General features: G+C 36.1%; 1 protein-coding gene across 4 annotated transcripts in view, besides 1 other annotated feature; it reads left to right on the top strand.

The window, feature by feature from the left end:
- LRRTM4 (leucine rich repeat transmembrane neuronal 4) overlaps nt 1–23,704 on the top strand; it is a 774,692-nt gene that overhangs the window by 488,759 nt on the left and 262,229 nt on the right. The gene's annotated exons all lie outside the window — the stretch shown is intronic.
- Nucleotides 14,884–15,541: an enhancer, noted in NCBI's record as "OCT4-NANOG hESC enhancer chr2:77245203-77245860 (GRCh37/hg19 assembly coordinates)". NCBI's record gives its function as "activates a minimal SCP1, AML or CMV promoter by ChIP-STARR-seq in naive H9 embryonic stem cells {active_cell/tissue: H9 hESC(naive)}" and the evidence as "EXISTENCE:reporter gene assay evidence [ECO:0000049][PMID:30033119]".

Here is a 23,704-nt window from a genome sequence, read left to right as displayed (position 1 = left end):
TAAGAGCCCCAAGGAGAGACATTTGAAGATTTGTGGTGGGAGAATTTTTAAAATACTGTTTTAGAAATATCTCCTCCTTCAATAAAATTGATATTCGGTACACAGGGAATGGTGATTTAATTTGTCAACATTATTTACAGCTCCATGGCCGATATCATATACAATATTAATATATTAAGAGTAAAAAAAACTATGCATTTATTGCTTACATATTTATGAGCTAATTATACTACTAATGGAAAATGTCTTTCATTGCTGTTAGACTTCGATAAAGATTTTTTTAATAATCTTTACTTGGCATTTAGTGAGCTATAAATGTCTTCATAAATATAAATTCAATGCTTTCTTGAGAGAGCCCATTTAAAATAATAAATGCATGTGACAATGATCTTGTTTAGAAAATATGAGTTTTAAATACTGAATAGATTACAATCTATATTGGCTCCTTGGAATTATTGTTCTCTCTCTGTAGCTGAAGTTTGAAGCCATTCCTCCCAAGAGACATTATTTCTGCTGCAGTTTTTCAGCTATTTTTCAACTTTAAAACATCAGATTACCATTGATTGTGATTGTCCCGAGAGATATTTCTTTCTTATTCCCTGTGTGCTGTTCTACTGGGAGTTAAAACACAGTTATAAAATATCAAATGTGTCACGGGTAGATCACTCTTACTTAGTACAATTAGTAGAACCATGTTGTATGGTGTAATAGGCAATTAGAACCCAGCAAGGAAGAAACCTTGCACATTACAAACTCCCATGAAATCATGGCACAACTGGTGCTAAAAAGAATCAGCATTTCCAAACATATCATTATTGAAACATAATTTCTATAAATGCTGTTTATAAATCAGAAAAAGCCTAAAAGAATTAAATCGGTAAGTCTTAAAGAAGATCCTAATGCAGTCTTTCAGCATATAATGAGGAATAACACTGGGGTCTATGACTATAAAACATATATTAATGATCCTTCTTTGCAAAAACTGAACAGCTTTTAGGAAAAACTGGATTAAATTTGAATAAAACAGATCTTAATTAGTCCAGCTTTTTTTCATCTATTCAATTATTTATTCAATTATTCAAAAAATATATTGAACTTCTATTTTGTGCCAATTTCTGCTCTAACAGATGGCAACGTGAACAAAACTAACTTGGTATTGTCATGAACCTCATAATCTAGTGGAAGGAGAAAGATACTAGGTAATAAAATAGACATATAATAGTCCAATGGTAAATGCTGTGAGGAAAACAGGAAAATTAACAGGGAAATAGAATAAGCTTGGAGTTGTTATTTTGTTTGAGATGATTAGACTAACCTCTCTGATATAATGAAAATTGAGCAAGGATTTGAAGTAAAAGAGTTACCTACGTAACAACTTGAGGGAATTGCTTCAGAAGAAGGGAATGGTAAATATGAAGGCCCTGCAGTTTTTAAAGTTTCACTGTGCTTCCTGTATGTGAAAGTCACTGCAGAGCCAGGTGGAAAGCGCAAGGATAGAAGTAGAGAGGCTGATTAGGAGCAGAATACAAAATTCTAGGCCCAAGTTAATGGTGGTTTGCACCAGGACAGTTGCTGTAGAGGAGGTGAACAAAGATCAGATTCTTAATATCTTTAAAAAGTGTTTTGATTTGCGAAGAAATGAGATGCGAGGCATAGAAGAAAGAGGAGTTGACAATCATGTTAGGGTTAGGGGCCTGAAAGATTTGAGATGCTGAACTGCTATGGACAAGAAGGGAGAGAAGATAGACATTCAGGAAGACGTGTCAAGTAGGCAGACAGTCATATCTCTAAATTTACTTCTTATAAGTATAATTCACTATATTAATTTACATTTACATGCACATATTGTGCGCGCTCTCTCTCTGTCACACACACGCACACACAAAGATATAGTTAGAGATCACATGGTGTTCATTATTGACTGGAGACGTTCATTTGGGTGTCATCAGACATAGGTGACATTTTAAACCATGTGACTGCATGTCATCACTGACACAGAGAAGCCCTGAAAAGCGATCCTAGGACTAAATAAACCTTGGGACTCTCTAATATATCTCACTCCCCGAGTAACCCATCATCTACAGTCTTTGATAATTGTTCCAGTGATTTCAGTAGAACAATGTGTATTTTTAGCCATGTGGAAAAATTAGGAAATAACTAATAAACAGCCCTAGGATAATCATGATCTACTTAGAAAAGAAAGTTAAATTCCACCTCAGATGTTATAGTAAAATAAACCTTGTGTAGATTAAATAATGAAATAAAGACATAAAGCCACAGGACAGCTAAAGGAAAATATTTATTTGATCTAAAATTTGTGAAAGCATTTGGAAGTCCATTCTTAATGAAAAAAGAAAAATTAATGCATAGTACACTTAGCTACACAAAATTATTTTAAAAACACAAATATTTGGCATGTAAACAAACAATAGTTAAAATAAATGGCAAATGTAGAAATAGATATTTTGCTATATAAATAACAGAAAAATTATAATATCTGTAAATGTATGTTCTACATAAGATATTAACATTGTGCTTACAAACCTGAGTAAATTCTCCATTTAAAATATAAGAAAATAATATTTACAGTTTATTCACAAAGAAAAAGATAAATCCCACTGTCCAGTGAATCTCTTAAAATATTTACATCAATAGCCATTGACACATTGCAAATTAAGAGAGACAGTTGCAAGTAACAATATTAGAACCTGAAGAGTGTTTGAGCTTTGATGGGGCAGAAAGAACAGTTACTTCAAAATATTGCCAAAAGAAATGCATGTTGATACAAATTTTGTGACAGATTATTTGGCATTACTTATTAAAACTTTAAAGATTGCCAATAGTCTTTAGCAAGCAATCATCTTTCAGGATATTACTGGAAGGAAATAATGCGTCTTTTTTTCTGGTGGTATTTGACTCATCTAAGTTCATTTTCATAAAGAATTAAATTGTTCTTTATCAAGGAGTCTTTTTGGTTGTTATCCTTAGTTTTGAAAAATTGTTTTAAAGGGTAGATTCAGATTATTTTCCTTTTTCATCCTCTATAAATTCTGGAAGTATAAATCCTGTTGGAAGTATTTATATTCACTATCTTTAAGGTTTTACAAATTTAGATTTAAATTCTAAACATTGTAATAGAAAACACACCGACTTACTGTCAATAAATGTTTACTTTTTCTGTTTTTGAGTTGGAGCCTCGCTCTGTAACCCAGGCTGGAGTGCAGTGGCATGATCTCAGCTCATTGCAACCTCCGCCTCCCAGTTCAAGCGATTCTCCTGCCTCAGCCTCCCGAGTAGCTGGGACTACAGGCACATACCACCACACCCAGCTAATTTTTTTTGTATTTTTAGTAGAGACAGGGTTTCACTGTGTTAGCCAGGATGGTCTCGATCTCCTGACCTCGTGATCTCCCCGCCTCAGCCTCCCAAAGTGCTGGGATTACAGGCGTGAGCCACCATGTCCGGCCTATTTACATTTTTATCACTTCATTTTTGTTGTTAAATCTGTGATAATTGGAACTTGTGTAAAAGTTTTTATTGTTTCACATGAAATTTTTTAATGAGACAAAATTTTTAAAAGAAGTTTAAATCATAATTGTGTTTTGCACATTCCATGGGCTGACTACTAGACCTTTTACACTATGACACTATAGCTCTTGAATTATTTGTTTTAATCCTCTTATTTTATTTAATGTGTTTTAATTTCCCCCTGAGTCCCTAGGATTTTGGTCACCACTGAAACCTGTCAGACTGTAAGGACTCTGCTTCATTGTCATTGATGTCCTTTTCTGATGTGTCAGGGTAGATGATGATTCCTTTTTTACAAAACAAATCTTTGTTCTGCTCAAGAATGTTTCTTGTTACTACATCTTTGTTTATTGCTTAGCATTTATTCCCTCTCTTCAGAAATTCGCATCACCATATATTAGATTTCTGTTTCCTATGTTATCAAATCATCTCTTTTAGAGTTTTCATTTCTGACATTCATCTCTGTGATGGCTAATATTGAGTGTCAACCAAGTATTGTTCCTGAGTGTGTCTCTGAGGGTGTTGCCAGTGTGGCTAGAATAAAGCAGGCAGAAGAAAGTGGAATGTGGAGACTTAACTGAATTTTCTGGCCTTCATCTTTCTCCCATGCTGCATGCTTCCTGCTCTCGAACATCAGACTCCAAGTTCTTCAGCCTTTGGACTCTTGGACTTACACGAATGGTTTGCCAGGGGCTCTTGGGCCTTCAGCCACAGACTGAAGGCTGCACTGTCTGCTTCCCTACTTTTGAGGTTTTGGGACTCGGACTGGCTCCCTTGCTCCACAGCTTGCAGACGGCCTATTGTGGGACTTCATCTTGTGATCGTGTGAGTCAATACTCCTAATAAACTCCCATTCATATATACATCTATCCTATTATTTTTGTCCCTTTAGAGAACCTTGACTAATACAACCTCTAAATACTAACGTTATCAAACTTGTCTACTAACTCATAGATTCTACTGTCTGCAAAGGTGACTCATTTTATTGCTAATGAATATATATATAATATATATATATTATATATATATATATATATTTGTGTGTGTGTGTGTGTGTGATGGACTCTCGCTTTGTCACCCAGGCTATAGTGCAGTGGTGTGACCTTGGCTCACTGCAAGCTCCGCCTCCCGGGTTCACACCATTCTCCTGCCTCAGCCTCCCGAGTAGCTGGGACTACAGGCCCCCACCACCACGCTCAGCTAATTTTTTGTATTTTTAGTAGAGATGTGGTTTCACCGTGTTAGCCAGGATGGTCTTGATCTCCTGACCTCATGATTTGCCCACCTCAGCCTCCCAAAGTGCTGGGATTACAGGAGTGAGCCACCGCGCCAGGCCTGCTAATGAATATTTTAATTCTATGGTTTTTGTCCTGCATTTTACACTTTTCTTATATCATCATCCTATTTTTATTGTGTTTATTTCTGTCTGCCTTCTTTTTGTCAACATCAGAATCATTTTTGTTCCATCTTTGATATTTTTCCTTCTTTTCAGAATCAATATTTACCTTATTCTTGTTGAAATTATAGGTATAATTATTGACAGTATAGTTCCTTCTATCCTCTTCCAATCTCATCCCACATAATCCAGTTTTCAAGTGAAATTTTTGAAGTTTAGTCATGAATAGTCCCTTTTTATATCTTTATACTCTCTTGGGATTTTCCAGAAGTGTGTTAATGAAGTGAGGAAGGTTAGAAAGTTCATCTCAACTCAACATTTTTCCTGGAAATCCTCTGATTAATGTTTTTAAGTGGTTTCTGACACTTGATTTCCATTCATGCTTTTGGCTTCTGATGTTCTATTTCTGTATCGTTGAACACTAGCCAACTTTCCTAATCTATGTACCTTTCATTACTCAATGAGTCATGCGCTACGTTCTGATACATCTTCTTACTTCAGAACTTGCTTTGGACTTTAGATTTGAGTGTTTGCATTTACTTTTTCCAACTGAATTTTTGTCCATATAGAGCCTAACAGAGATACTGCAATAAATAATTACTTATATGTTTTTAATTTGAGCAAAGCCTCATCAAATCTGACATGTCTGTAGAGTGAAAAATCATGAGTTTTTCATAGTTTTAAATTATTGCAAGTTTGTAGTTTTTTTTTTAATTTGTAAACAAATACTAGATAAGAGAGAAAGTTAGAAGTTTCACCATTAATTCTGTTGATAATTTTCATTCTGGCTTTAAGCAGTATTGCTGTTTCTCAAATGGGACTGTATTGAACATATTCTTTTGGATATTGAATATATAATATGTTAAAATCAACCTGGTATAAATTGTACAAACATGCTATAATTAATGTAATGCTCATTGTAATTCAAATGTCTTGATATTTGTAATATTTCCTTTGCATGTTATTTAAAAGCCAAACAGTCAATAAAAGATTAACTAGATGAAATTATCCTTTCGGCAATTCACTACTAACTACAGTTGTTTAGAAGGCTCTTAGTGATTCAGAAAGCACATTATGCATTTAGAGCTGATAGTACACTGGTAGGATTGGTGTAGTCATGCCATTTGTTAAGATATTAAAATGCTTCTATACTGATTGGTAAATAGTTTCCACCATAAGACCCTTGAGTGGCTACTCACTCATTCTATTGCTGCCACCTGGCTATTGAGATTAGGAGAATTTTAATGCTTCTAAAACCTTTTAATCACTGAAGCATGCACATACTGAAAATTAATTTTGGCATGCTGTGACTATTCATTCTACTACATAGGCTATTTTAAAAAGCATTTATGAGTTCTTTTTTTATTTAATTCATCTCCTCTACCTTTATAACCTTTAAAAAATAATCCTCAGATTAAAGCATCTATTTCCCCATTAAAAATTGAATCTTGCTCTTACATAGCATTTCCTCTGGTATGAAGAGGCATGTAAATAAAAAGTAATCTAACATTGTATCAGAAAAGGAGATTTATGTCTAGTGGTGGAAATAGTCCATAAATCGTGTAAAAGAGAAGGCAAGGAAAGAGGGGCATTGGGGAGGTGTGGGTTGTGGGCACTATAGGGATTATTGTAATCTCAGTGGGTTATTTTAATATAGCAGGTGTCAAAAGACCAATGTAGTGGAAGCAGGAACTCAAATTCTGTTCCAGATTTCTAATGGGAAAGGGTGATTTTCTTTGCTTGGCTTTAATTAAGTTGTGCCATATATTTTCCTTCAAAATAACATTTCCTGGAACATCTTACTAAATATTCATAGACACATTTAATACTTATTTGCATTATGTTTATCAATATTGCAGTCTTCTTTTGAATACATGTGTATTTCTACAGTCTAACATTGTGGCTTCCCCAAATATGCAGCTTTATTTTAGACAATTTTTAAAACAATTTGTATGTGAATATATGTTTGTATATGTGTATAATAGGCAAACAGAAGTGCAAATAATACTCATTCAGAATTTTACTTTTTCTATGACAATAAACAGCTTTTCAGGTTTTATAGAAGGATTTACATATATAATAATTAAATATGGTATAAAATTAAAATGGAATCTGATACCAAAATTTTAGAAATAGGCTATTCACTTACTATTACTTTTGTTGTAAATATGCAATACAATTTAAAATGTTAATAAAACTCACTTATTGTGATAATTTAGATTTTTTTGTTAGTGCATATATGAGACAACCACTCCCATGATCATTCTGTGGGTTAAAAACCAAGCATTTAGGATCTGGCAGCATGTACTTGATTCTGAGCTCTACCTTCCAAGTTGCACAAGGATTTTAACTTTTCTGAGCCTCATTTCTTTTATCTGTTGAGTTAGGAAATATAATATCTACCTTCTGGGGTTTTCATGAGGATTGATTGACATGATGCATGTAAAGTGCTTCAAATGGCCCCTGCAACATAAATGCTAGCTATTATTTTCCTCACTGTAATAAATCAAAATATTTTTTTCTTGTAATGCTAATTACTACAAAGCATTCCAAAGAATGTGGTCTGGTTTCATTTAGTCCCTAGTAAAATTACTTACCCAAGGCAAAGAAAATAACATTTTGTTTTAGTCAACGTTTATAATGCGTGACTTTATTTTAGAGCTATGAATTCATTGTTCCCCCATTGCACATGCTTTATTTTGATTCAAGTAGGAAACATGTGCAATCGTGTCCCATGACTTGTTTATTTAGCAAGATAATTTATCAATATTTTTGAGGAGCGGTCATTGACTTCAATCTCTTTGAAATACTGACTGAACTAGGATCTCCTGCTGAGTATATGTGGAAATAACTGTTGATAAAATGGCATTTAAAATGAGGAATAAAAGGATAAAAAAATTATACAACTTGTGTAGTCAGTAGGGTGGAGTGGATGTGGCTAAAGATTCATAATAGTGCTTCTCTCTAAGCCAACAGTCTTCTTGAGGCTCCAGAAATATTCTACATTTTTGTTTTTGTCATCACTGCTTCTACCAGCCTTGTCCTTTTTCTTTAGTCACTTACTAAGCTATTGTACAACTGAGAGGAAAAACAGAATATTGATCTTATTTATTTGGATGATGATTATTGAAAGGGAAGGAACACAGATCAAGACTATTAATAAGAGAGAGAAGACTGAAGAGGAATAAGAATCTTTGCCATTTCTAAGAAATGTGTTGCAGGAAACCAGAAGAGGTTAATGCCCACCCACCCACCAGGGAGCAGGGACAAGAATTCTCTTACATCTCAGCATACCCAAGACCTCCTCCAAGATTTTTCCTGTGCTCATTAGGAATAGAAGGACCTAGTACTATTCAAGTAGGAAAGATCAGATATTGTGATAAACAGCAAAAGAGGGTATCTAGATTTTGTAGTCGTAAATCAACCTTTTTCAAAGAGATTATTTGAAAGGATTATCAACAGCCTGTATTTGAAAGAGCTCACCATATTTTTCCAGCTAAATATATGTGATCTCTTGACATGTCATGGATTTTACCTGGAAACTAAAGTATTACGGATCCTATTATGTTATGATTCTTAACTTTTAGAATGAGTGATATAAATTCCCACTAATTATGAACGTACTGATTTTTATCACAATTTGAAGTATGAAAATATAAATGCTTTGACTTGTTGAAAGTTTTAAAATTACAAAAATATAGATCAAGATTCTTTTTCACCGTATTTGAAACAAAAAACTAATAATTTCTCAAATTGTTGACTATTGGAAATATTTTGAAAATATTATCCACATTATCAATTAAGAAGTGTCCTACATTTCCAACAAGATATAATCCTTATTGGCTTTCCAGACATCCTTAGAGAAACAGTGTACTAGATTCAGTGTTTAAAATGTGTTTCCAATAATAGAATTCCTACTATATACTTTTACAAGCATATTAAATTTGAAAGTGTTTTATATTTTCAGAGTGGTTCATACATGTAATTTTGTTCCATTCTGAAACTGGAAAAGTGTTAAGTGAGTAAAATAAGTTTTATTATCCCTAAGGAAAAAATACTATAAAAACAAAAAGAGAAGAGATTATAAGGCTTACTTGTGGTTTTCCAATTCATTAGTAACAAAAAAAAATGTGATTTTTCCCTTTTCCTCTCTGTTGTTTTTTTCTTTAGAACTTGAATTTTCCTTTTTTTTTTTTTTAATTCTAGACCCTTTGCAACCAATGACATGCATGTGTGAGGTAGGATGCTGGAATATTATTCAGCCATAATACAGAATGAAATTCTGCCAATTGTGACAACATTGATGAATTTGGAGGATATTATGCTAAAGGAAATAAGCCAGACACAGAAGGACAAATACTGTATAATCTCACTTACATGTGGAATCTAAAAAGTCAAACTTATAGAAACAAAGAGTAGAACAGTGGTTACCATGGTGATATGGTTTGGCTCTGTGCCCCCACCCAAATCTCATTTGGAATTGTATTCCCGTAATTACCATGTGTTGTGGGAGGGACCAGTGGGATAATTTGAATCACAGGAGTGGTTTCCCCAATACTGTTCTTGTGGTAATGAGTAAGTCTCATGAGATCTGATGGTTTTATCAGGGGTCTCCCTTTTTGCTTTTCCCTCATTTTCTCTTGCCACTGCCATGTAAAAAGCACTTTTGCGCCCGATCATGATACTGAGGCCTCCCCAGCCATGTGGAACTGTAAGTCCAATTAATCTTTTTTTTTCCTTCCCAGTCTTGGGTACGTCTTTATCAGCAGCATGAGAACAGACTAATACAGTAAATTGGTACCACTAGAGTGGGGCATTGCTGAAAAGATACCTGAAAATGTGGAAGTGACTTTGGAACTGGATAACAGGCAGAGGTTGGAACAGTTTGGAGGGCCCAAAAGAAGACAGGAAGATGTGGGAAAGTTTGCAACTCCCTAGAGCCTTGTTGAGTGGCTTTGACCAAAATGCTGGTTGAGGTGGCCTCAAATGGAGATGAGAAACTTGTTGGGACATGAAGCAAAGGTGACTCTTGTTATGTTTTATCAAAGAAACTGGCAGCATTGTGCCCCTGACCAAGAGATTTGTGGAACTTTGAGAGAGATGATTCAGGGTACCTGGCAGAAGAAATTTCTAAGCAGCAAAGCATTCAAGAGGTTACTTGGGTGCTGTTAAAAACATTCAGTATTAAAAGGGAAGCAGAGCATAAAAGTTGAGAAAATTTGCAGCCTGACAATGTGGTAGAAAAGAAAATTCCATTTTCTGAGGAAATATTCAAGCCAGCTGCAGGTATTTACATAAGTGACACAGTGCTGAATGTTAGTTAATCCCCAAGGCAATGGGAAAAATGTCTCCAGGGTATCAAGAGACCTTTGCGGCAGCCTCTCCCATCACAGACCCAGAGATCTAGGAGGAAAAAATGGTTTCATGGTCAGGGCCAGGGTCCCTGTGCTGTGTGCAGTCTAGGGACATGGTGCCCTGCATCTCAGCCACTCCAGCCTTGGCTGAAAGGGGCCAACATAGAGCTTGGGCTGTGGCTTCAAAGGGTGCAAACCCCAAGCCCTGGCAGCTTCCACATGGTGTTGAGCCTGCAGGTACACAGAAGTCAAGAATTGGGGTTAGGGAACCTCTGCCTAGATTTCAGAAGATGTATGGAAATGCCTGGATGTCCAGGCAGAAGTTTGCTGCAGGAGCAGGGCTCTCATGCAGAACCTTTGCTAGGGCAGTGCAGAAGGGAAATGTGGGGTTGGAGCCCTCACACAGAGTCCCTACTGGGGACTGCCTAGTGGAGCTGTGAGAAGAGAGCCACCATCCTCCAGACCCCAGAATCGTAGATCCAACTACAGCTTACAACGCGAGCCTTGAAAAGCCACAGACACTCAATGCCAGCCCATAAAAGCAGCCAGGAGGGAGACTGTACCCTGCAAAGCCACAGGGGCAGAGCTGCCCAAGACCATGGGAACCCATTTCTTACATCAGCATGACCTGGATATGAAACCTGCAGTCAAAGGAGATCATTTTGGACCTTTAATATTTGATTGCCCTGCTGGATTTCAAACTTGCATGGTGCCTGTAGCCCCTTTGTTTTGGACAATTTCTCCCATTTGGAATGGCTATATTTACCTAATATCTGTACCTCCATTGTATCTAGGAAGTAATTAGCTTGCTTTCGATTTTACAGGCTCATAGGTGGAAGGGACTTGCCTTGTCTCAGATGAAACTTTCAACTGTGGACTTTTGGGTTAATGCTGAAATGAGTTAAGACTTTGGGGGACTGATGGGAAGGCATTATTGGTTTTGAAATTCAAGGACATGGGATTTGGAGGGGCAGGGGGAAGAATGATATGGTTTGGCTCTGTGTCCCCATCCAAATCTCATTTTGATTTATACTCCCATAATTCCCACATGTTGTAGGAGGGACCTGGTGGGAGATAATTTGAATCATGGAGGAGGTTTTCCTCATACTGTTCCCATGGTAGTGAATAAGACTCAAGAGATCTGATGGTTTTATCAGGGGTTTTCTCTTTTGCATCTTCCTCATTTTCTCTTGCCGCCACCATGTAAGAAGTACTTTCACCTCTGGCCATGATTCTGAGGCCTCCCCAGCCATGTGGAACTTTAAGTCCAATTAAACCTCTTTTTCTTCCCAGTCTCGGGTATGTCTTTATCAGCAGCATGAAATGGACTCATACAGGTGGTCTTGGAGGTGGAGGAAAAGGGGATATGTTGATCAAAGGGCACATACTTTCAGTTATAAGGTGAACAAATTCTAGGGAGCTAAGATACAGCATGAGTGGTGATAGATACCATAATTAATTTGGGTGTGGCAATCATTAAACAATGTATGTGTATATGAAATCATCATGTTGTGCACCTTGAATACATATTAAAAATTTATGGCATTAGTAATTGCATTATCTATTGCTAAATAACCACTTTCAAAATTTAGAGGCTCCAAAAGCATATGTTTTTCTTGATGTTATGGATTGAAACTTTCTTTTGCTAACCTCCCCAAGGTAAACTCATGCAGTTGCATTCAGCTGGCAGTCTGGTTAAAGATGGGACCTGGTTGGGATAACTGGAGATCTTTCTCTATGTGGTCTTTCACATATAGTACAAATAGTGTGACCTTTTCTTCACAAAATGCCAACTGACAAGCCTAGATGTATAATCACTTATCACGTTTTTGCTTGCATCATGTGTATTGGTGTCCCTTTGACCAAAATATGTCACATGGGCAAGTCCAGAGTCAATTTGAAAAAGCATTATCTTGATGTCTTAATGTGTAGATGACAGAAGTGAGTCATTGCAGCCCATTAATGTAACACTTAATCCTGGTGTGTTCTGTGACTCCACTGATGCATGTCCCTCCTCTGTCTGTAAAATATGGTCATACTCTCTCTGCACCCCCAACATCTTACAAGTTCCTAGCATTCGTCTTCAAGTTCGTGGTCTTGTTATCTGTATAGTTCTCACTGATATATACATCACTGATATATATATATCACTGATTATATACATATATATGGCTATACATATAGATAAGGCAATAGATAGATAAGGCTAGATAGATAGATAGATAGATACATAGATAGATAGATACAGAGAAGTTTCTTGCCTGCAGTTCCTTTAGTGGCTTCTTATTGTTCCAGGGACCCACAAACTGAAAAACTGAGTTATATACCTTCATGCTCCAAGCATATAATGGTGAGACACATACAGGATAACAGTAATAGAAGCTCCCATTCAAAAATTCGAAACTTCGAAGTCAATCACCAGTCCATAACAATTCTGAAAATAGTTTGGTATATTTTCTCAGTACTCCCCAATCCATGGACAGAAAATGATCCTTGGTTAGTCTGCTTCTGTTCCTTGGACATGGAATTCTCAGCATCTTCGTTGTTGTTGACTTCACTCATGGCTCTACGCTGAGAGATACCATTTCTTTTCTTTAAGAAATGACCAGTGTTTGAGCAGAGTATCTACTTGACCTTCTCAGGCTGCTTCATTGTCATAGAAAATTGCATGCATAGAGATATTTTTTCATTTTGAACTACCTCTGGCTTTTTGTTCGTTATGTTACTACCTTAAAAACATTGAGAGTGTGTAATTTGTGTTTATATCATGCCCCAAATGTCAGATCTATGATTTTTTAAAAATAGATTATTCTGTCGAATTTGGTAGAGGGTTAGAGGGACAACACATGTACGATTCTTAGAAACCTTTTTGTGTAGCTGATGGGATCTGCTAGGTACCTCCATAAATCTTTCTAAAGTATTATGTTGGTGCAAAAGTTACTGTGGTTTTTGCCAATACTTTTAATGTCAAAAGCCACAATTACTTTTGCACCAACCTAATATTAGCAGAGGATCATACAACTACACTAGATTTAATTCTTATTGTGAGGCCATTTCTTACTTTGAGAATCTTTGGCTAGCTGGAGACACTAGAGAATATTAAGGTTTTTATTTTTTATTTTTCCAAACCAAAAGAGTTCTGTGCCTTCTATTTTTTTTATTAATACTACTTATAAACTGAAAATTTCTACCTTTCTTCATCTTTCTCTTCCTGTACCTTGTTACATACAGCAAAAAGAAGCACATTTATAATATCTATCCTAGACACATCCTTAGATTCATAAGTTCATTAAGTATATTTTATGTTTTCCAAGTAACCTAGGAGATAAATTTTCCAACTATTTTGCTATCAAAAAACACAGGTCACCATTTTTTTCAGCCTCCAATAATAATTTATTTGCTTCCTTTCGAGCCTCCACTAACATTTTGTTTGACATTCTTTCAACCTTCACCCACAGCCTCTTTGCCATTTTTCTAACCTTTTCCCATTACCCAGTACTAAAGCCAGTGCTACATGTTTTAAAATTTTTATTATATTGGAGCCTCACTTTTGATAAAAATTTTCTGGTTCAGTTATCTATTGCTACATAATAAGTATCATTAATATAATAATATGTTATTATAACCAAGTTTAGTCTGTCTTAAAATGGATTTAGATATATCTGAAACAAGAAATTGGCTTTATCTGCAACTGATGTAATTTTTATCACTTGGTTAGCAGTGTTAATAATACAAGCTAACCATTTTAAGCAATTACTGTGTGCCAGGTATTGTGCTAAGGATTTAAATTTATTTCCTCATTGTATCTTCACAGCAGCTCCTTCCATGAGATTTATAGTATTATTTCACTGGTGTAGTCACTGAGGCTTAGAAAAGGTTTATAACCTTCCTGAGGTCACATAGAAAGTTAGAAATTTGTGATTAAAACCTCATGATTCTGACTGAAGAGGTAGTACTCTTAGATACTACACAATGTTGCATACCTGGCATTAAGGCCTTCCAGGGCTTAACAATGGCAAAGATATCAGTAAGCAGGGTCAATACACTCTGTCTTCTTCTTATATTTTTTTTTTTTTTTTTTTTTTTGTAGAGCAGTGACAAGCTTAGTATCCAATAGTATGTTCCTGAATAAATTCCATTTTGTAAAACTCAGTACTATCCATTTGTTAGTGTAGCTATATTCTGACTCTCTATAACAAGTCTAAAAATTGAGTTTCCATATTTCATTCAAGAAGTTTTTCATATAGCACTGTGAAGTGTACAGCAGATTGGGGCCTTCCAATGTGTGAGATTTGAGACTAGAGATTCAAATTCACTACATTTCTGTTACAAGATATTTCATTTTTTTTCTTTAGAAACTGAAGTAATGGGCTAAATGAAAATAATCAGAATTTAAAATATTTAATGAAATTATGCATTACCACATTCAAACACAAATCCATTGTAAAATTAGACTAAAATATTCCTGTACCTTAAAGTTCATTAGAACTTGCTTTCATGAAAGAAGAATAATAATGTGACATACCAATTGTTTATTATGTGCAAGTTACACTTCATCAAAGAACTTAAACTTCTTAAAGGGCTTTAAACTTTAACAATTATATTTTCCTCTTTAGTTAGAAAGTTTTCTGAGTTGTGGTAAACCTTCAGCTGTACTTCTGAACTATTAGTAATTCAAAATTTAACTTCAGGAAAGAATGATGTTTATATTTCTTATCATAATGAAAATCTAATGATTCTTGAAATTGGCCTGGTTGCTGATGTTATCACCAGAAATGCAAAAGGTTGGTTTCTGCCTTCTGCTCAGAGGAATGCTGTAGAAGTCTGAGTCAATAGCCATCATGCGTTAATCCATCCATACAGAGCAGTCTAGTGCAAAAGGTTATCCAGACACAGATATGATATGGCAGCTACATGGTTTCTTCCCTGAAAGGATGTAAATGAGAAAATCCCAGCCATTAGCAAACAAAAGAACCCTTAGGAGTCCTGCTGGTATCAAAGAAGTCTTTATTCCCTGACTGTTCTCTTTTCACCAGCTCACAGTCAGATAAAGAACAAAGACAAAAAAAAAAAAAAAAAAGCAATCAAGAGCTTAGCATTACATGGTTAAGTGAAATGTACTTTTGAAAAAAAAAACAAAAAAAATTTTTCTTTGGGGGACCTATTTTTCATCACACAACAGAAATTAAATATTTGAAATTGAAACTAGATTTCAAAAACATCAAAAGGAAAAATAGTACTTTCAATTCTTTCTTACATTAAACAATTTGTATACCAAAGCTATAAAAAGAAGTCAAGTATATATTGATCTAAACATGCGCATAGATGGATAAGAAATTTAGATTTACCTTATTTATATATAAAATATATTTAAGTATTATGCCATTATGATTATTTGTTCACATCTTATCTCGTTTGAGCTAACACTTCCTGTTTTAAAGAAAGACGCTTTCTAATATATAATTTTTGGGTGATTATGCAGACTTGCTAAATATAAGTAGATTGGGTTCTCATTGTCTAGAAATTTATAAAAAAGCTAAATTAATCAAATAAAGTTAGGAGACAATTCACATAGTCATTCCTAAAATTGTTGTTTTTATTCTCCTCTTCTATTTATTTTTCTTTTAGATATCGTAATGACTACCTCGGGTTGTAAGTATAGGAGGAGGAGAGGAGTTATGTATATACAAAGTGTATTTGGTTTAAGTACTCCATGTCTAGGAGTGATCAAACTGTCCTTACTAGTAGGAAACTCCTCTGTAGATGGTACACAAACACGTGAGAGATGTGGCCACTACTTTCATTTAGCTCCAGCAAATGTTCCTTTTACTTGTACTTACCAGACCTTAGGAGGTACAGCTAATGGAGGGGATATCTGAGGCAGGAAAGATTCTTTTATAGTTTTCTTAAAATTAAAAAGAAAAGATAAATGGAAAAGGAGATGTATGAGGCCAATAAGGATGGCATTTGTTCTATAAAAGGAGTTTTCAGGATATAATTATTTTATCAGATTATTTAAAAGCTTATGTAGTAAAATGGGCTTAATTTAAATGTGACTCTTAGAGAATATATGCATTACTTAAAGTGATAAGATGGTAGAACAACAGGAGGTCAGGCCTTAGTTAAAATGTCTTTGCCACCTTGGATATCACACTTTATCTCTGTGGCCGTGATGTCCTCATCTATGTTGATGTTTATCCTGGAGAATTCTTTCTGATGATACTTAAGGGTTATCAAACAATGAGCAAAGTGCCTGCAACCAGGTGTTGCTTCTTTTCCCTCAGTCCTTTAAAATGAATAACACCCAATATATTTTAGCTGAGTATAATTGAAAGGGAAGCATGGAGTATTCACAGCTTGCTACTATGAAATAAAGAAAACAAGATATGACCCTAACTACAGGCAAATAGAGTGCTGCTACACATTTCTCTGCTGGCTGTCTCCCTTATTAAAAAAAAAAAAGTCAATAAAGTATCATTTCAAATATCCAATTGGCCTTGCTTCCTAATCAGTTTCTGCAGCCAGAGGCGGCAAATGTTGAACAAGGCAATAGGTGAGAATGCAAAGTTCCCAGAAATAGAAAGTGTAATTCTAATATGTAATTCACTAGAGGAAACACTTCAAGGCCTCCATTTATCATTTCTGAGTGGGGGCCTCTACTGGGGGAAGTTTATTTGCATTTTCAGGGGCAAAATGTTCTGCCTTGTTTCAGAAATAGGTACCTAGCGTGAGAAGAGAGAGGCAATTCAAGCAGTCCAGCTGCAAATGGATGTGGAAAGCTTTTGAGCTGATATAAGGCAACATGATTGTAATACATTATAGGCTTACAGACCATATGGAAAATCTCAGCTCTTAGTTACCCTGGCCCGTTAAATCTGAAATATTTGTTTCTATTCAGCAATCAGAACTTGTTTCTTTTGCCCATCTTCTTCCTCACTCTTTTTTTTTTTTTTTTTAAATGGAGTTCTCCCTCTGTCGCCAGGCTGGACACAGTGGCGCGATCTGGGCTCACTGCAACCTCTGCCTCCCAGGTTCAAGCAATTCTTTTGCCTCAGCCTCCCAAGTAGCTGGGACTACAGGCGCCTGCCACCACGCCCAGCTAATTTTTGTATTTTTAGTAGAGTCAGGATGTCACAATGTTGGCCAGGATGGTCTTGAACTCTTGACCTCTTGATCTGCCCTCCTTGGCCTCCCAAAGTGCTGGGATTATAGGCATGAGCCACTGCTCCCGGATTTTTGTTTGTTTATATTTTGTTTTGGAGACAGAATCTCATTCTGTCACCCAGGCTGGAGCGCAGTGGCGTGATCTCGGCTCACTGCAACCTCTGCTTCCCAGTTCAAGCGATTCTCTTGCCTCAGCCTCCTGAGTAGATTACAGATTATTTAGTAGAGACAGGGTTTCGCTATGTTGGCCAGGCTGGTCTCGAACTCCTGACCTCAAGTAATCCACCCATCTCAGACTCTCAAGTGCTGGGATTATAGGTGTGAGCCACTGCACCTGGCTGTTCTCTTATCCTCCAGAAATGTTCTCTTATCCTCCTTGGTAAGCATGGCGGCAAGTCCTCAGTATTTCTGTTTCTCTGACATTTCCAGGCTTTTTCCCCTTTTTTCTATCCACTTCATACATTTGCAAGGCAGAAGAGTGTCTCTTGGTCATTTATTTCCTACTTCAAAAATACATCCAGTGGCAATGTTGTTTCTATAAAGTAAAACTTCCGCCGGGCATGGTGGCTCACACCTGTAATCCCAGCACTTTGGGAGGCCAAGGCGGGTGGATCACAAGGTCAGGAGTTCGAGACCAGCCTGACCAACATGGTGAAATCCTGTATCTACTAGAAGTACAAAAATTGGCTGGGCATGCCTGTAATCCCAGGTACTCAGAAGGCTGAGGCAGGAGAATTGCTTGAACCCAGAGGTGGAGGTTGCAGTGAGCTAAGATCGCACCACTGCACTCTAGCCTGAGTGACAGAGCAAGACTCTGTCTCAAAAAAAAGATAAATAAATAAATAAATAAAGTACAACTTCCTCCATGTATCAGTCAGGGAAGCAGAACCAATGGGAAATATATACTAAGGGATTTATTGCAAGGAGTTGGCTTACGTGATTTAGGGACAAGCCAGGCAGGCAAGTCTGAAATCTCTAGGGTAGGCCATCCAGAAGGGTTGACTGGAACTGTGGATATAAGCAAAGCTGCTATGCACAGGGAAAAAATCTTTTCATCAGGCAATCCTCATCCCTGTTTTTGAGGCCTTTTTACTGATCTAATCAGACTCATCCTGATTATCCAGGCTACTCTCCCCATCAACTGACTATGGAGTTTAATCACATCAACAAGATACCTTCACAAAAACATTAAAAGTAGTGTTTATCCAATTACTAAAGACAGTAGGCTAGCCAAGTTGACACATCAAAAAATCATCACTCTTCAAATAAAAAATCTCTTTGAAAAAAATGAAAAGTCAATTATGAGATATTATATAATCCTTATGTTTTGTCACTAAAAGTAATATTTATAATTTTTTTTCTTTGAGACAGAGTCTCACTCTGTCCCCCATGCTGCAGTACAGTGGCACAATCTCCACTCACTGCAACCTCCACCTCCCAGGTTCAAACGATTCTCCTGCTTCAGCCTCCCAGGTAGCTGGGATTACAGGCGCCCACCACCACATCCAGCTAATTTTTGTATTTTTAGTAAAGACAGGGTTTCACCATGTTGGCCAGGCTGGTCTCAAACTCCTGACCTCAGGCGATCTGCCTACCTCAGCCTCCCAAAGTGCTGGGATTACAGGCATGAGCCACTGCACCTGGCCTATAAAATCTTTATATATATATATATGAAAGGGCACAAATGCTTCTTCTGCAATGCTTTTTATGAGAATAGTCAATCATATAAACCATGGGACAAGAGGGACGAGATGATTTATATTGTAGGGTGAGTTTGCCTTATTTGTGTTCTGTACATTTGAAATATTTCAGTGAGTAGCTATTCTTTTTATAATAAATTAATATTTAATTTACAATGTGAATAGAATATGCACTCAGTCCTATATTCTAATATGTATGTGCTCAACAACTGGCCTATTCCTTTCACCATCTGCCTTTGCCTACTTCCCGTTACTTTTGAATTTGGCCTTCTCAGCCTTGTTTGCCTTTGTATACTCCTCTTGATCCGCCCTCTCTACTCAGCCTTGCTAATCCATAGCCTGTAGGGGGATCAAACAAAAAACTGTGCATGTTCATACTCATCATGCAGATTTGATCATATTAATCATACTCTCTCATCATACTCAAAACACACAGTGAAGAATTTATTCACTTTAGTTCCCATATGGTGAAAGAAAAAAAGGAACTTTATTTTCCATAAGGAACCAACCTAATCTTATTGTCAAACTCCCTTAAATATGGATACAATGATCTTAATTTTACCTACAGGAAACTGAAGCACTGAGAAATTAGGTAACCTGTCCAGTTGAAAGAACAGACCCTCCCAGTTTAAGACAGCCTCTTTATAGTTAACATTATCTTATTGGGGTAAATATATAACTCTTAAAAATTTCAATATTTTATCTGAGTTGTTTCTCCCTTTACACAGGATTTTGCTTCCAGTTCTTCTGTCCAAGAGATTGTGTAAATTTACTGGGGAGATTGTTATCGCTGTTTTCTTTAGGAGCTGGCATTGATTTCTGCCCTTGTTGCTTCCACTGAAGACAAGCCAAAGACTATTGTAACTCGTATCCTGTTCTCTCAGCCTAGGCTGTCAATTGTTTTGGAAGATCTAGGATATCTCCCCATTGATACAGATAGTACTACTCACTTCACTTTTTTTTTTTTTTAACAGTGTTTCAGACTCTCTCAGGCTTGGCTGCAACTTCCATTTGACTACCAGTTTTCCATCCAATGCTCATTACAAGGCGATTTTCCCTCACAGTGGTAATCTCAGGGGTAAAGTTGCTCCACAGTAATATCCATTCTCTATTGCCTGCGAGCTGAGGGAGAATGACAATCACTTTCTCCGTCCCTGCCTTTGCCAAAACATATCACAGCACCACATCTGCTCTATGCAGCCAACTGACAGCAGCAGAAAAACAAACTGGAATCAAGGCACATGCCTTCTCCTGCTCTTTGCTTCTACCTCAAGTGCTTCAGTGGTTATACCTTTCCCTCCTGATTCAGCCCAAAGCTGGGTGATTGAAGATCTTTGTGTAATGATCTATCTCAATGGGAAAGCTGAAGGAAAAAAAGAAAAATGAGAATAAAGTAAAGTGGAGAGAAGGTTATCCATTCATTCATGCTATTATGCATGCACTCATCCTGTTGTTCATGCTATATTCTATATAATTCTGTCACAAATAAAATTATACCTCTTGAACATCTGTATTTTCCTTGGTAGGATGTGCCATAGGCCTACAGTCACTTAATACATCGTTTGCCCATTTCCAGGTATGTTATTAATAGTATTTTAGGTAGTAATTACAAATTGGTATTATATATCCGTGGTGGCTTAGGCTTAACCAGCAAAGCAATCCTTGTTTGAGTTGGTAATCTTGTCTGCTTTTCTTACCTTATTTCAGTTATATTGTGTGTTAGTTGAACACCAGAGGCCTAGTTTTGCTGAATTGCTGCATAATCACAGAGTTTGGGGGTCACTCAATTCATGCTTCTGGGTCCCAGTTCCATATCTAGAGGTTCAACCTGATAATTTGAAAAGGGATTTCTAGTTCTAAAAGCCTATGATACTTTTACTTTAACAAGTAACATTAGAACTTTAACGTGCAATGAGATCAGCACTCATCAATCCTGCCCAGGCTCTGCAGGTGATTCTCTGTAATCTTCAGTATCTCTGCAGTTAAATGATTTTATGTTTGTGTCTTTAGTTTTGAGTTAAAGAAACAGGAGAAGATGAAAAGTGGAAGGGAGGAGTTTACAAATACACGCTTGTTAGGCATTAATTTCTCATTGTCAAAGCTGATTATGCACTACAAGAGGTTTTACTAGAACATCCGTTTCAAACCTCTGTGTTATAATACTGATTTCCAAAAAAAAATGATTATTCTTGGAAATAATAATGTTATTTGAAAATAATAATTATTTCTAACGAATTATTCCAGTTTTGACAGGACCTAGAAATACTTGAGTAAGCTTCCCTGCTTGCCTATGGTGCATTTATATTCTCTCAATTTAATTAAAATTAAACTACATTTTTCAGAATTCATTCCCTGTATGGTTTCAGGTTTGCATTGGCCACAGACAACATTTTGCGTGAGATTTGAAAGGTAGGAGTAAAGGAATATGCCATATTTTTATGCTCTAAAGTTTGATGCAGGCTTCAAATGCTGGCATCTGGCACGTGCTGTCACTGATCTGTTAACTTACCTTGTAAATGTGGGGTGGTATCTTCCTTACCTTACACCAGTTCTCTTCCTTTGGCAGTTCTGAGGTCTCAACCACGTGAATGGTTAAGAGCGATAAAAATCTCCCCAGTAAATTTACACAATCTCTTGGACAGAAGAACTGGAAACAAAATCCTGTGTAAAGGGAGAAACGACTCAGATAAAATATTGAAATTTTTAAGAGTTATATATTTACCCCAATAAGATAATGTTAACTATAAAGAGTTAACATCTCAACCACATGGATGAATGCCTCATCCATGGCAAAGGATACTGACCTCTCCTGCAAGTTATGGCTTCTAGGCTGGCTATGCTAGAAATCATATGTATGTTTCAGTTTGTTCTCATGTATTTCACATTTTCTTCATTCTACACACACACACACACACACACACACACACACACACACACACACACAAATGCTTCTTCCTAGTTGCCAGTCTGGTGGCTGACTTTAGAGACATCAAGCTCAACAATAAGCATGCAGTTAAAATCTTGCATGGTTTTCTCTACCAGTTCCAATAATGGTGTAAAATCTAATCCCAATAATAAGTCCCTATCCCAGCTGTATTCTATCCAATGTGATAGCCACTCACGCATGTAGCTATTGAGTACATAAATGCAACTAGTCTGAATTAAGATATGAGTACAAATACACTCTAATTTTTAGAAATTTAGTGTGAAAACAAGAATGTAAATGATCTCATTGATAGTATTATATGTGATTACATGTTGAAATTATATTTTTGAAAATATTGGGCTAAACTGTGTTAAAACTATTTTTATCTCTTTCTTTTTACTAAGACATGATTACTAAAAAATTTAAATTATACTTGTGCCTCATATTTGGGACTTGCATTATATTCTTTCTAGATACGGCTCTTGTGGGCTACTCATAGTACTTCTGACTGTCTGATCAAAAATTGGTCATTACCTTTAATATCTCCTGTCTCCTATATGGATGAATAATGTTAGAGAAAGTCCCCAAAATCATACTGATGTCAAGTTTATTTGAATGTTGCCTTTCATATGGCTATGCTGTTAAGAATGGTGAAGTAAAATCACCTTCCATGGCCCCTAACCACAATCAGTCTCAACTCAGAACATTGTCTGTGGATAAGACTTTAGTTGACTAATCTCATTCTCAACAGTGGATTCATTATTTATTTATTCATTTAACAAATATTCTCCAAGTATCATCTAAGTATCAGCCACTTTTTTTACATCCTGGGCAGAGAAAAGAAGGCAGATACAGTTTTGAACATGATACAAAAGAGTTCTGTTTCATATGAAATCAGAATGTCAAAGAGATATCTTCATTCCCATGTTCATTGCAGCATTGTTCACAATAGCCAGGGAATGGAATCAACTAAGTGTCTATCAACAGATGAATGGTTAAAGACTGTGTGTGTGTGTGTGTGTGTGTGTGTGTGTGTGTGTGTGTGTGTAAACAATACAATTCTATTCTGCCTTAAAAAAGAAGGAAGTTCTGTCATATGAAAAAACATGGATCAACCAGGAAGACATTATGCTAAGTGAAAGAAGCCAGGCACAGAAAAACAAATATTGCATAATCTCATTTACATATGGAATGTAAAAAAAATCAAACTCATAGAAACAGAAAGTAAAATAGTAGTCATTAAAGGCTAGGGGATGGAAGGAATGGGAGGATATTAATCAAACAACACAAATATTCAGTTACACACAATAAATACATTCCAAAAAACGATTGCACATCTTGTTGACTACAGTTAATGACAATATATTGTATATTTGAGAATTGCTTAGAGAGTAAATTTTAAGTGTTCTCACCACAAAAATAGATACTTCTATGAGATAATGCACATGTTAAATAGCTTGAATTAACAATTCCAAAACATATACATATATCAAAATATCATGCTGTATACTATAAATATATTCAATTATTTCTTATGAATTTAAAAATAAAGTTAAATCAACTTTTTTTTTTTTAAAAAAAGGGTCCTGCCCTGATGAAATTTTAAGTTTAATGATGGAAGACTGTCGGTACACTG

This window comes from Homo sapiens, chromosome 2 (assembly GCF_000001405.40).
Source record: "Homo sapiens chromosome 2, GRCh38.p14 Primary Assembly".
NCBI classification, from domain to species: Eukaryota; Metazoa; Chordata; class Mammalia; order Primates; family Hominidae; genus Homo; species Homo sapiens.
This window is presented reverse-complemented; position numbering and strand designations above follow the sequence as displayed.